General features: G+C 39.7%; 1 protein-coding gene across 20 annotated transcripts in view; it reads left to right on the forward strand.

Annotated features, from left to right (window-relative positions):
- MLF1 (myeloid leukemia factor 1) overlaps window positions 89-14,726 on the forward strand; it is a 35,263-nt gene continuing 20,625 nt past the window's right edge. For 8 of the 20 annotated variants that reach the window (NM_001195434.2, NM_001130157.3, NM_001195433.2 and 5 more), the window contains exon 1: window positions 89-286. Coding sequence is in view for 7 of the 20 variants with exons in the window: in NM_001369781.1 (NP_001356710.1) it covers window positions 227-286 (60 nt within the window). In the remaining 13 variants the exon portion in view is untranslated. Of the gene's footprint in view, window positions 489-1,870; window positions 1,935-11,550; window positions 11,825-14,726 lie in introns of all 20 variants that reach the window. The other 12 variants (NM_001378846.1, NM_001369784.1, NM_001378850.1 and 9 more) reach the window with 5 other exon arrangements.

Here is a 14,726-nt window from a genome sequence, read left to right on the forward strand (position 1 = left end):
CCTGGTGACGTCACAGAGCAATGTCCAATGGGAAAGCAGCTCGGTGTCACGCACCTCCTATCCCGGCGGGCACCGCCTGCGCCGCGGCGAGTGAGGCGTCGTCCGTACTGGAGGCTAGCTCTTGTCGCGGCCGCGGCGAGTTAACATCGTTTTTCCAATCTGTCCGCGGCTGCCGCCACCCAAGACAGAGCCAGAATGTTCAGGATGCTGAACAGCAGTTTTGAGGATGACCCCTTCTTCTCGTGAGTTACGGGAGCCAGGAGTCCGGGGTCGCGCGGGAATTAAGGTATCGAGGGGAGCTATTTTAAGGGAAAAGAGCGAGTTTTAGAGGGCGAGAGAGAATTCGGAGTAACTCTGGAGGCGGTTTGAAGGAGACGAGGATTTGGAGGCCTGGGAGGGAAGAGAGAGGAGGATTTAGGGGTGTGTGAGACAGGGAAGAGACGGATTTGGGCGCATGAGGTGGAGAGAGGAGGGTTTGGACGCGTGAGGTAGGCGGAGGGAAGTTTGGGGGCGTGAGGTGTGGGGAGGAGAGTTAAGGCTGGGAGTGGGGGGAGAAGAGTTGAGGCCGGGAGGTGGGGGGAGGAGAATTGAGGGCATGAGGTGGGGAGAAGAGGTTGAGGGCGTGAGGTGAGGGAAGGGTTTGGGAGCATGAGGTGGGAGGGAGGAGGGTTGAGGGCGTGAGGTGAGGGGAAGGGTTGAGGGTGTGAGGTGAGGGGAAGGGTTGAGGGCGTGAGGTGAGGGGAAGGGTTGAGGGCGTGAGGTGAGGGGAAGGGTTGAGGGCGTGAGGTGGGGGAAGGGTTTGAAAGCGTGAGGTGGGGGGAGGAGGGTTGAGGCTGTGAGGTGGGGGGAGGGTTTGGGAGCGTGGGGTGGGAGGAGGAGGGTTTGGGGGAGTAAGGTGGAGGGGGGAGGGTTGAGGGTGTGAGATGGACGAAGGAGGATTTGGGGGTGTGAGGCGTTTGGAGGAGGGTTGAGGGCGTGAGGTGGGGGGAGGGTTTGGGAGCATGAGGTGTGGGGGAGAGTTGAAGGTGTGAGGTGTAGGAGGAGGGTTGAGGACGTGAGGTGGGAGGAGGATTTGGGAGCATGAGGTGTGGGGGAGGGTTGAGGGTGTGAGGTGAGGGGAAGGAGGGTTTTGGACCGCGAGGTGGGGGGAGGAGGGTTGAGGGCGTGAGGTGGGGGGACGGTTTGGGAGCATGAGGTGCAGGGGAGAGTTAAGAGCTTGAAGTGCAGGGACGAGGGTTGAGGGCGTGAGTTGGTGGGGAGGGTTTGGGAGTATGAAGTGCAGGGGAGGATTGAGGGCATGAGTTGGTGGGGATGGTTTGGGAGCGTGAGGTGGCGGTAAGAGGGTTGAGGGTGTGAGGTGGATGGAGGAGGATTTAGGGGCTGAGGAGGATTTGGGGGCATGAGGTGTGGGAGGAGGGTTGGGGAGAAGGGTTGAGGGCGTGAGTTGGTGGGAAGGGCTTGAGAGCATGATGTGGGAGGAGGGTTGAGGGCGTGAGGTAGGGGGAAGAGGTTTGAGGGTGAGAGGTAGTGGGACGAGGGAGGGTTGGGGCGTGAGGTGGAGGGAGGAGGGTTTGGGGGCATGAGGTGTGGGGAAGAGGGTTTAGGGGCATGAGGTGTGGGGGTAGGAGGGTTGAGGGTGTGAGGTGGACAGAGGAGAGTTGATGGCGTGCAGTGGGGGGAGGAGGGTTTGGGGGCGTGAGGTCGCAGGAGGATGGTTGAGGACGTGAGGTAGAGAGTTGAGGGCCCCAGGTAGGGGGAGGAGGATTTGGCTGCATGAGATGGAAAGAAGGCCCTTCCTCACACTCCCGGGGTGCCTGCTGCTTTCCATTTGGCCGGACTTTGGGTGCCCGTCATGGCTTCCTGTGTGCAGAGTTGGCCTTTGCAGCTTCAAGGGCTTTGCAGGTGACATAACTACCATCTCGGTGAAACTTATGGTGAGAATTATGTTCACATAATTGCAAATGGGAGCAGGGAATATTTTATAGCTCCTCTTTAAATTCCAAATAGGAACAGGTAATATTTTATAGCATGACAGTTCATTGAAAAGGGGAAGTTTTTAAAACAGCATTTTCCATGTGAGTGGGGAATGTGTCAATGAGAGCACGACAAAGTTGGAGAGTTGTGCTTTCTCTTCGAAGTTGTTGGAAGTTGCCATGCCAATTGCGCTGTTTTCTTTGCTCGCTTTGTTACAGAGCTAACCTTGTTTGTGAAGGGACTCCGCTTTCTGTCAAAACTAGAAATAGGACAGGGAAGCTGATGGGGCGGGGCGGGGGGAGGGGGGCGGGAGGAGGGCGGCGGGGGGGGGGGGGTGTGTATTTAACACCTCAGGTAAGCAAGTGCCATTCGTTGCCTTTGAAGGTTCCCAGTGAAGTAATGTGATGCCCTAGAAAGAAGGCATCCAGAAATTGGTTTCACTATTATTTATTTTTGAGTTGTGGGATTTTTTTTCCTTAATTCTAACTTTGGCCATTGTTACAAACACATTGACATAGTCTAGTTGTATCCCTAAGAGGGGAAATTTGTAATACTTTTTAGCCTAAGTGTTTTTTGCCAGTTTGAATTTTGATTTCAAGTCTAGTTTATTTTGATCCCTTAAATTTTCTAGGTTTGCAATTTGGAGAGCATTTTTTAAAAAGGTCTTAAAATAAGAGTTTATTGCACATATTTTTCAAACAATATCTGTGGGGGGTGTGTTGTGCGTCTGTGTTTGTTTGTTTGAGACAGGGTCTCACTGTGTTGCCCAGGCTAGAGTGCAGTGGGTTGCTCTCGGCTCACTGCAGCCTCTGCCTCCCAGGCTCAAGCGATCCTCCTGCCTCAGCTTCACAAGTAGCTGGGTCCACAGGAGGGAGCCACCACACCCTGCTAATTTTTTTTGTAGAGAGGAGGTTTCGCCGTGTTACCCAGACTGGTCTCAAACTCTTGAGCTTAAGTGATCTGCCTCCCTCGGCCTCCCAAAATGCTGGGATTACAGGCATGCGCCACTGCACCTAGCCAATGTTGTTGTTTAAATAAATGATTGACTTAAATATGTTAGTACTAATTTAAAGCAAAATAACATTAATAAAAAGATAATGAACAGTGGGAAATGAAATGGTTAATATAGAAAAATAAAATGATTAAAATTTTTTTCTGAAGATTATTTATTAAGGCATACATGAACTCAGGCAAATTTATTATGCCATTTTAGTTAACGTGTTTAGGAGCTGTTGGGATATGGACAGTGTTATTTTAACAGGTTTAAATTTTTGTATTATTGTGATTCTCTCTTTTGAAAGCCAGAGGCGAGGCTTGGTGGCTCACGCTTGTAATTCCAGCACTTTGGGAGGCCGAGGTGGGTGGATCACCAGAGGTCAGGAGTTGGAGACCAGCCTGACCAACATGGTGAAACCCCATCTGTACTAAAAAAAAAAAAAAAAAAAAAATACAAAATTAGCCAGGCATGGTGACACACACCTATACTCCCAACTACTTGGGAGGCTGAGACAGGAGAATCACTTGAACCCAGGAGGTGGAGGTTGCAGTGAGCCGAGATTGCGCCATTGCACTCCAACCTGGGCAACAAGAGTGAAACACTGTCTCAAAAAAAAAAAAAAAAAAGAATATTTAGCCAGAGAATATTATTTTGTAAAATCCATAATTTTATTATTTTGTATTACATAAGCTCTGGCTTTCAAGAGAATCACAGTACTACAAATCCATAGATTATTGAGGTGTTGAAGTCATTCATATGTAAATATGACATCATACAATTGGTAACAGCTAAGAAGATTATGATAGACAATTTTCGAGTTGTATTATATCCTTGATTATACCAAAAGTTGTTTTATATCCTTCATTGTTAAGGATTCCATCCTTAACTGTGAATGTGTAATGAGTATAATATGTTCTTTAAAATGTCTAGCAGAAGTGTAATTTAAACTCTTGAGTGATTCTGAGCAGAGGCAATGAATTCAAGAGTCAGGGTCAGAAATAGTAACAGACTACAAATAGTAAGCATACAGAAGAACTCTTCCTCTGTGCTTAGGGTGAAAAGGACCATCAGTTACTCTTTCAGTTATCACTATCTATAGCCTTTTTCAAATGCAAGGAGCCATATCATAAAAATTGAAGGTAAAATTGTTGCAGTTAACTTTTTTTAAGCCTAATCTCCTTTATTCATCACAAAGCTTTTGCATAGACCTTTTAAATATACAAAATAGTGGCCAGAACTCTGCTTACAGACTACCATCTTTCATTACCACCATATTACAGTTAATTTTATAAAATTGATTCACACTTAACAATTTCTTTTCTCCACAATGAATTATATTTAACACACTTTTGGGGATAAGGGAGAAAAAGAATATGAGTTTATGTTTATTTCGGGTAATCTATTTGACCCACCCGTTTTACCTCAACCCCCAAACAAAATGAGTATCCATTTCTTAAGTTAAACATAAAGAATTCATAAAGGTGACAAACTCCTTAATGAATCATCCACTGACCTTAGGAACATAGAGATGTGAAACACATAGCTCATGCCCACTCTCTTTTATATAAATATTATCCCTGTTGCTAACATTGTGGTGGGTGGGTCATAGAGTCAGTAAATGTTGTTTAATGGTGAGTTGGTGTCCTTTATTCTCTTTCTTGTAGTCAATCTGGTATTTAGTTGATTGCTGAAAGTAATTATCATTTGCATTCAACAAATAACATTGTTGATACTGGTATTTTCTAATTAGAACATTACGATTTTCTAAATAGTCCATTAGAGTTGCTTATATTGTTCACAATCAAGGTTATTCAATATAAGCAAACGCTACTGATTTACTAATTATTCAAAAATGGACAAAAATGTATACTTCTTTGATATAAAAATAGAATTACTAGATACTACGATGCTGATAAGGTGCTGTGGTTAAATTGTTAATTGCTTAAAATATTTAAGTAAAAAGTAATTAAAATCTGTAGTTTTGAATTCAAATATATTCAGTTTCAATGTTTACCTTATTATAACAGTGCATCTTAAATGTTTCTTCAGAAAAGTAAAAGGAAATGTTAAAAGTTATATTTTAAAATTTGGTGTTTTATTACATACTTGGGATTTTTAAACTTTGGTATCTCATTATGTCTCAGGGCTGAAGTTATTTCATTGAAAATTTACATTACAGTATATTCAGATATACCTTCTTAAACAATATCTGTTACTTGATTAAAAACACAAAGGTTAAAAGCTAGCACTTCCTGGCATGCAGTTCTCTCAAGAATACTATCTTTCTCTCACATCTGTATTTGCTAACAATATGCATATTGTTAAGTACATATGTATAGACAAGAGGATTTTGAGGTTAAATGGTTTTGGCATCCTGTACCCTAAAAAACATCGATTATGTAGTATGAAAGTTTATAAATATTTAGTACGACCCAGAATTTTCTATTTGATACGAAACAGGAACTGTGAATCTTCTGAGCTACAAAAATGTAATTCTGATCGAGCAAGTCTACAAAGAATAATAACTATGTTACCACTTACCAGCTATTGGAGATAGAAAGCTCAGAAGCAGGCTGGCAAACCTGTCAACCTTAATTTTTTTTTTTTTTTTTTTGAGACGGAGTCTGGCACTGTTGCCCAGGCTGGAGTGCAGTGGTGTGATCTCGCCTCACTGCAACCTCTGCCTCCCAGGTTCAAGTGATTCTCCTGCCTCAGCCTCCTGAGTAGCTGGGATTACAGGCGCACACCACCACACCCGGCTGATTTTTTGTATTTTTAGTAGATACCGGGTTTCACTATGTTGGCCAAACTGGTCTCGAACTCCTGATCTCGTGATATGCTGGCCTCAGCCTCCTAAAGTGCTGGGATACAGGCATGAGCCACCGCACCCAGCCAACCTTAATTTTTAATCATAAATTATTGTTGTCTCTTCTTTAAGCCTCTCAGCTCTCCATATGAGCATCATATATCTGATGACCAGTATTTGGTTAAAGTACTGCATATATTCACAGGATGTTACTTCTTCTATCTCCTTATATGTATAATCTCTATTTTAAAAATTTTTACAAATTTGTATTTATTTTATACTTGGAAGTAGTTGGATTTATTAAAGGACATTGCTTTGTCCTATCCACTGATGGAGTTCAAAGTGAATGTATTCTATGTACAAGATGTGGGTTAACTTTTTTATTGATGGAAAACATTCTCATTGAAGGAAATAAAACCACCTTGTTAAGCTTTTGGAAACAGTATTCAAGGTTACTACTTAAATACTTGTTTAGACGTACAGTCTGAGGTAGAGTCTCTGCCAAATTGTCATAGCTTGGCTCTAGTTAATATTCTGCCACATATACCTCTCATTCTAAACAGTTGATAAAAGTAGCTTGAGAATACTCAGCTAAAATTTAAGTTACTTATTTTCAAGGTCCCACTTTATTCTAAGACCCTGAATACCTACTGTGAAATTACCTAGTATAATTGTTCTTAGGAATATTTTAATATATAAATTTCTTATAAATGAACTTTGCAAATTATAAGATCATATTTGAAAGAATGAGACACTGTAAGCCTTGTGCTGAAAGGATTTCTAAGGTATACTATTCATTTGGGGCATTCTTTGGTTCATGAGGTAAACACCACTGAATTAGGAGCCCAGGAACACAGCATGACTAGGACATGGTTGCTGGGTCAAAAATGCCATACAGTAGCATGTACCCACAAGATAATTCCTACTTCTGCCAATTAATATTGTAAATATCCATGAAAAAGGAGTGAACTATTTATAGAATATCAGGGGAGCATAATCATTTCCACAATTTTTTTGATATCAAAGGCTTTTGCCACACCAACACTTTGTACTTCAAGACAATGGAAAAATAGAATTGCTTAATAAAAATGTAATTCATTCTTTAAATATTTCTTCAGTTTCTACTATAGGCCGAACCCTGTGGGTTCTCTTTTAAATTTTTAGATGTCTTGGTTCCTGCCCTCAAGATCCTTCTTTGAATGTTACATGCATTATTTCTAGTATCAAAACATGGATCTTCTGGTCTATTTTCCTTATAGACCAGTCTACCTCATTGAAACTAGGGAACATTTCTTTATGATCAAGAGAACCATAACCATCTGCTGGCTAAGCTTTTGCCACTACCATGTATAATGGAAGGGAGGAATTTCCCTTAATGAGTGAGCCTGCCATGTCAGTTATCTGAGAACCTTATGTAATAGGTAATGCTCTTTGCTTAGAAGCACAAGTATCTATATTCTTATATAGATGAAAAAGAAGTGTAACTTAGGCAAAATAAGTGTGTGTGTGTGTGTGTGTGTACATATGTATTTGAGAGAGTTTTAAAAACAATAAATTATTCTAAAGGGAGACATTACCAGCCCTTAAACACATGTATGTACGTATGTACATACATACATACAAACACACACACACACACACACACACGTACACACTATGTTGAAATCATTCCCAAGTGACCTGGAATCAATCTAAGAGTTAAGACATAAACACTTTTGAAGGGGAAGTAGGCAACAATTTATTTTTCCTGCCTTGTGATATATGCTGAAGGTAAATAATATAGAATAGAAAAAGTACGTTTGAGACCAAAGTTTATTCAGTTTGGTTGTGGTTTGTGTGAGCAATTCTAAGAGAGGAGGTATATAGTCATCAGTGAGTAAAAGTACATTTTTCTTGACCTAAATGAAAATACATCCTCATGGAAAATCTGAAAAGTATAGAAAGTTTGGTAGCAGAAATAATACAACCCATTATTTTGATGTATTTTGTTTCAGATGTCCACATGTGGATTTTTATTTTCCAAAATTCGGACCACACTTTATGGTTAATTATTCAATGCTTTTCTGCAACATATACCATGAACGTTTTCCTGGTCTTTAGATATTCACTAAAGCATGACTTTAGAGTCTGCAAAATATTGCACCCTATGAACATACAAAGCATATTTCTCACATAAATCTTTAACAACATTTTCAAATTATTACCTTAGACTCTTTGTGTACATGAAATGACTAGTTTGTATAGCATGACCTTTTTAAAACCTCCTATTTCCAATTTGTTTTCCTAGAAGAATGAAATTTTATTTTCAAAAGAGAACATTATGAATGGGCTAAAATTTTTCATTTGAGAAAAAAAGCCTAGGTTAATTTTAAAAATATTAAAACAACTGTGTGCTACCATAGAATTTTTTTAGTTTTGATAAAAGTGAATTCAAACTTGGACAAGAGAAACATTAAAGCCTTATCTCCAAGCAGCTGCCTTTCTGGGTAGACATGAATTAAACTCACTAGAAGTTTCAGCCAGATTTCTTCCTGAATGGTTCAGACAGTTGCAAACACCAGACTATAGGCTCGCTTTTGTTTAGTGCATCTTCCAACAGGCAGTCATTTGTTCATGTCACTCAGAAAGATAAAATTTTTAGCATTTGCTGAACATACACATATTCAAATAAACATTTAAATATTCCCCTACTTCTATATAAAGAAAGAAAAACCCAGGCAAATTTTAAATGAGCCATATTTTGTTGATTAATTTTTAGCCCAATTATAATGCAATGAGAAAAATTAATTTTACTAAATTTTGATTCTGTAGAAAAGTAATAGCTGTTTAGCACTCCCTTATTCAAAGAACAAATTTAGTATTTCTTGAAATACTTTTCTTCATTGTAGTCAAATCACATCTACATATCTAAAGGAAAAGTTGACTGGTTTTCCTAAGTAAGTATATATTAATAGGAACAAGCATTTTAGTCTCCATACTTTAACCATACTCTAAGCTGTAAATGTCCAGTGAGTTTGGAGCTGTAAGCAAAAGGACCTCCTTTTGAAATGCCTGTTTTAAAACATCAAATGGTATGAAATCCTTTAACCTCATGCAGTTACATTTATTATGAAATATTTCAAACATACTGCAAAGGTATAACGAATACTTTGGAATAATCTGGTTTTTGAGGTAGGAGTTAGAAAATGTTCCATGGGTAACTCATTTGTGCATTTTAGAACTACTTGAAACTCTGTACCTTCAAATAAAAAGTAGAGTGGGGTGGAAGTAGGGAGAGCATTAGGAAAAATGGCTAATGCATACTGGACTTAATACCTAGGTGATGGGTTGATACGTGTAGCAAACCACCATGGCACATGTTCACCTATGTAACAAACCTGCACATCCTGCACATGTACCCCGGAACTTAAAAAAAAAAAAGAAAGATTTTGTGAGGTGGAAAAAAAAAGTAGAGTGATACGTATGCCAAATTTTGAATTACTAATTTTAAAGTAATTTTGTTCTTCATAATCTGATTTTGGAAAACAAAAAACGACTCCCTTTCTGCCTTCTAGTGTGCTAAAACATGAGCTGCTCCGTGTGTACTATTGATCTGTACACACTGAGATTTTAAATTAAAATTAATTTATAAATTGTCACAACTTCTTTATAGTGCTTGTTGCATATAATTTTGCTAGAATAGTGATTCTCAAACTTTTAACAGGTAGGAAATCTAGGAATGGTAGTCTTAAATTTCCTTTGCCCCTCAAGACAAAAACTCATACTAAAAATCCTACAAGAATCTGGTATGTGGCTGGGCATGGTTGCTCACACCTGTAATCCCAGCACTTTGGGATGCTGAAACGGGCAGAGCCCAGGAGCTCGAGACCAGCCTGAGCAACATGGCAAAATCCTGTCTCTACCAGAAAAAAAAAAAAAAAAATTATCCAGGCATGGTAGTGCACGCCTATAGTCCCAGCTAAGGAGGCTGAGGTGGGAGGATCAATTGAGCTTAGGAGGTCAAAGCTGCAGTGAGCCATGAACATGCCACATTGCACTCCAGCTGACAGAATGAAACTCTGTCTCAAAATAATAATATGCCATGTAAGAAGCTTAAGGTTACCACTTCACGCTAATAACAAATTAAAAACTGAACAACCTGAGAAAACAACTTTTCTTGTATATAGCAGAGAATCGAGGTCACAGGGCAAATCTCTGCCCCCATAATTGGAGATAGGCAGATAGAGAGAATCACAACTTAACTGGTGCAGAAACCTCTTCAGGAACCAGTGCGAGGGTAGTAGGAAAACCTGACCTGTAGTTGACAAATTACTGGAGACTCAGAGTGGACAAGTGTCAGAGTTAAGAACTCCATGGTCCCCCATAATTTTGTGAGTTTTACCTCCAGGAGCTCTACCAGGTTCTCCCAGTGAATATTGGAAAAAATCTTCTCATGCTTCCAGCAGAAGAGAGGGGTGGAAAGTAACCATTAAATATGCCAGAGCATTCTGTTTTTCTTAGCAAGGCCTGCAGTCAAGAGAAACTTTTTTACCAAAGCCCAGTCTGCCTGGGGGAAGGCAAATACCCAACTCCAGCTCCTCCAGCCATGTTATCACACTGGAGGGGAGGACTAAGGCACACTGGTGAAGTTTACAACCCAAGGCTAGGCTAAGCCAAAGACTGTGAGTTAATCTTATGACTACAGAACACTTTGCCTCCCACAACACCTTACCACTACATTACTAAAGGTCTATTTACTGCAGTTCCCTTTACCCAGTAAATATGTACTACTTTCAACAAAATATTACGAGGCATACTAAAAGGCAAAAAAACAGTTTGAAGAAACTGAACAAGTATCCAAACCGTATTTCTAGCAAGGAATATTGGAATTATCAGACCAGGAATTTTTTTAAACTATGATTAATGTGCCAAGGGCTTTAATGGGAAAAGCAGACAACGTGCTAGAACAGATATAAGCAGAGAAATGGAAATTGTAAAAATAAAATGCTAGAGACTAAAAACATTGTAACAGAAGGCCAGGCGTGTGGTGGCTCTCGGCTGTAATCCCAGCACTTTGGGAGGCCAAGGCAGATGGATCACCTGAGGTCAGGAGTTCAAGACCAGCCTGGTCAACATGGCAAAATCCCGTCTCTACTAAAAATACAAAAATTAGCCGGGCGTGGTGGTGCATGCCTGTAATCCCAGCTACTCGGGAGGCTGAGGCAGGAGAATCACTTGAACCCAGGAGGTGGAGGTTGCAGTGAGCTGAGATCGTGCCATTGCACTCCAGCCTGGGCAACAGAGGGAGACTCTGTCAAAAAAAAAAGAGAGAAATGAAGGATTCCTTTTATGGGCTTATCAGTGGACTATGAACAGCTTAGGAGAGAATCTCTGAGCTTGAGGATATGACAGTAGAAACTTCCAAAACTGAAAATCAAAGAGAAAAAAGACTGGAAAAAAAAAACCCATAATATCCAAGAACTGTGGCAAGAACTGTAGGGCAACTACGAAAGATATAACCTGTAATAGGAGTACCATAGTACAAAGGAACAGAAGCAATATTTGAAGAAATGAAGACTAAGAATTACCCCAAATTAATGTCATACACCAAACCACAGATCTCAGAAGTTTAGAGAACACCAAGCAGAATAAATGCAAAAAAAAATTAAACCTAGGTGTGTCGTATTTAAACTGTAGAAAATCAAAGATAAAGAAGAAATCTTGAAAGAAGCTAGAGGGGGAATAAAAACCTGTAGAAGAGCAAAGAAAATAATTATATCTGACTTCTCTTCAGAGACCATGCAAGCAAGAAGAGAATGGCATGAAATATATAAAGTGTTGAGAGGAAAAAAACCCACTGACCTAGAATTCTGTATCCTGCAAAATTATCCTTTAAAAGTCAAGAAGAAATAGACTGTCTCAGACAAACAAAAATTTGGTGAATTTGTTGACAGTAGACCTGCCTTGCAAGAAATGTTAAAAGAAGTTCTTCAGAGAGAAGGAAAATCATACAAGTCAGAAACTCTGATGTACATTAAAAAAGCAAGAGCATCAGAGAATAAGTTAAGGTAAAATAAACACATTTATTTTTCTTATTCTTAATGGATCTGATAGATAACAGTTTGTTCAAATAATAATAGGCACACACACATTTAATGGATTGAATGCCAATCTACCTCTTATATTCTTCTCCTTCCCTTTCCCCCAAGTGTATATCCCGGCCTTAAGTCTGCTCAGTAATTTCCAGCAGCAAAATGTTCTTTTCTCCTTTGTGTTGCTAATTTAAAGCAGTAGTTGAAAATGACTGTATATGACGGGAAGAATTTAATTTGCAGTCACTCCACTCTTCCCCTCACTTTCTTTTTGGATGATAGATTATTGCCCCCAGGTGCTATTTTGCTGTAGGGAATCTCAGAAATAAAGGAACCAACAGAAAGGATAATGTGAGGACACAGGGATCTGCAGGTCAAGGAGAGAAGAGGCCTCAAGAGAAATGAACTTTGCTGACATGTTGATCTCAGACTTCCAGCCTCCAGAACTGTGAGACAGTAAATGTTGTTTAAAAAAGAAATAAAGGGAAAGAAAGAAAGGGAAGAACAAGAAAATCAGCTAGAGAAGCTAATTTAATAGAAAAAAGGTATGTCTATTCGCTCTTATAATTAAAGAGTTTGGGAAGCATGTAAAAACAGGAAAGCTACTTAAAAAACAAATAAAAGGGCAGTGCAAGGTCTGAGAGACAGAGATGGGAAATGGAAGTCTCAGATATTGAACCAAACTGTAGGACCAAGTACACATAAAACTACTCCCCCCTAATTCAATTCCGTGGAAGTAACTTTACTTTTATTCATTTCCTGACATTCATTAATTTATTTTATTCTAAATATATTATTTCAAACATTTGATAAAAACTGACATCATGAAAGAGAGAAGCTATGCTAACCAAACAGAAGAACCAACACTTAAGGAATCAAAAGTTAATGAAACAAAGAAGATTCTAGAAAATAGTGTAACTAAAATCTTGAGGAGACTTTCATTTCTACTGTGACCAACAGAGCTCCAACTGGACCAACTCTCTTGCAGATAACTTTATAAGCCCAGGATGAAATACAAAAACAACTTACTGGAAAAGATGCTAGAGAATGACCAAAAGCAGATATATGCTGGAGAGGTCTCAACAGTTGAACAAAAGGAAAGACAATTCTAGCCTAATTGTCTTACATGTAGAGTGACTAAAACTGTTCGAAGACCTTTAAAGTCTTTTTGACCTAACAACCAAAGACAGAGTTCAGTATAGCCACAGTCACTGGAAAGGGAGGGAGAGAAGTCCCCAAAAGGAGAGAGCCAGAGAAGAGTGAGCACCAAATACTGTGAATAAATTCTGTACAAATCTGTCTAAGGCTTAACCACGTATGCATAAGACAGACTCAGAGCAGTTCAGCTAAGAAGGATAAATGAACTAAATGGAGATTTGAGCTACCACGCAAGAGACAGAATTTGACCTTTAAGGCTAACCAGATTAATTACCTATTTTTAAAAAATCAAAACTCTGGAGGAATATATCAAAATCCAGACCCTATACAACATAATATCCACAATGTACAGATGTAACCCAAAATTACTTAACAGGAAAATGTGACCCATTCTCCAGATAAAAAAATAAGACACTGATCCTGAAAAGACACATATGTTAGAATTAAAAGACAAGAATTTTAAATCAGTTGTTATAAATTTTGCCCAATGAAGTAAAGGAAAATATGCTTGCAAGGAATGAAAGGATATTTAATCTCCATAAAGAAAGTGTGTGTGTGTGTGTGTGTGTGTGTGTGTGTGTGTGTGTGTATACTTTTTTATGTATATACCCCCCCCTACCAATAGAAAGTCTAACAGGGATGTCCAATCTTTTGGCTTCTCTGTACCACATTGCAAGAAGAACTGTCTTGGGCCACACGTAAAATACACTAATACTAGTGATAGCTAATGAGCCTGAGCAACATAGTGGGACCTATCTCTACAAAAAAATACAAAAATTAGCCAGGCACAGTGGTGCACATCTGTAGTTTCAGCTACTAGGGAGGCTGAGGTGGGAGGATCATTTGAGCCTGGGTGTTTAAGGTTGCAGTGAGCCAAGATCATGCCACTGCTCTCCATCCTGGGAGACAGAGCAAGACTCTGTCTGAAAAAAAAAAAAAAAAAAGAAAAAGAAAAAGAAAAATACCTTGCTATAGCTCAGATGTTTGACCCTCAGAATGTCATGTTGAAATCTGATCCCTAACATTGGTAGTGGGAGTTAATGAGAAGTGTTTGGGTCATGGGAGGGTGGATCCTTCATTAATAGATTAATGCCCTCCCTGGAGGTTAGGGTGAGGTGGTAAGTGAGTTCTCACTTTATTGGTTCCCAGAGAGCTGAGAGCTGGTTGTTAAAAAGAGCCTTTCACCTCCCCACCCCTCTCTTGCTTCCACTCTTACCATGTGATCTCTGCACATACTGGTTCCCCTTTACCTTCCTCCATAAGTGGAAGCATCCTGAAGTTCTCATCAGAAGATGATGCTGGCTCCATGATTCTTGTCAGTCTGCAGAACCATGACCCAAATAAACCTCTTTTCTTTGTAAATTACCCAGCCTCAGGTATTCCTCTATAGCAACACAAAAATTGACTAAGACATATCTTCAGAGTTGGGAGAGGATATTTTCTTTAGAGATGTCAGAGGGTAATGCAGCCATTTAACAAAGAACCAGAGATACAGAAATTAAATTTTTTTAGAAAAATGAGTTAAGCAGAATGTTCACAAGCAAAGAGTAAATTAGTAAGCTTGGAAATTGAGTCAAGGAATTTCTTCCAACATTCAACACAGAATCACAGAGGATAAGAAAAATATGCTTTAAAAAAAGTTTGACAAAGAAGGCAAACAGATAGAAATAAGGTAATAGTAAATACCCAAAGAAGTAATTTAAGAACAATTTCTAGAATT

The sequence above is a fragment of the Homo sapiens genome, chromosome 3 (genome assembly GCF_000001405.40).
Source record: "Homo sapiens chromosome 3, GRCh38.p14 Primary Assembly".
NCBI classification, from domain to species: domain Eukaryota; kingdom Metazoa; phylum Chordata; class Mammalia; order Primates; family Hominidae; genus Homo; species Homo sapiens.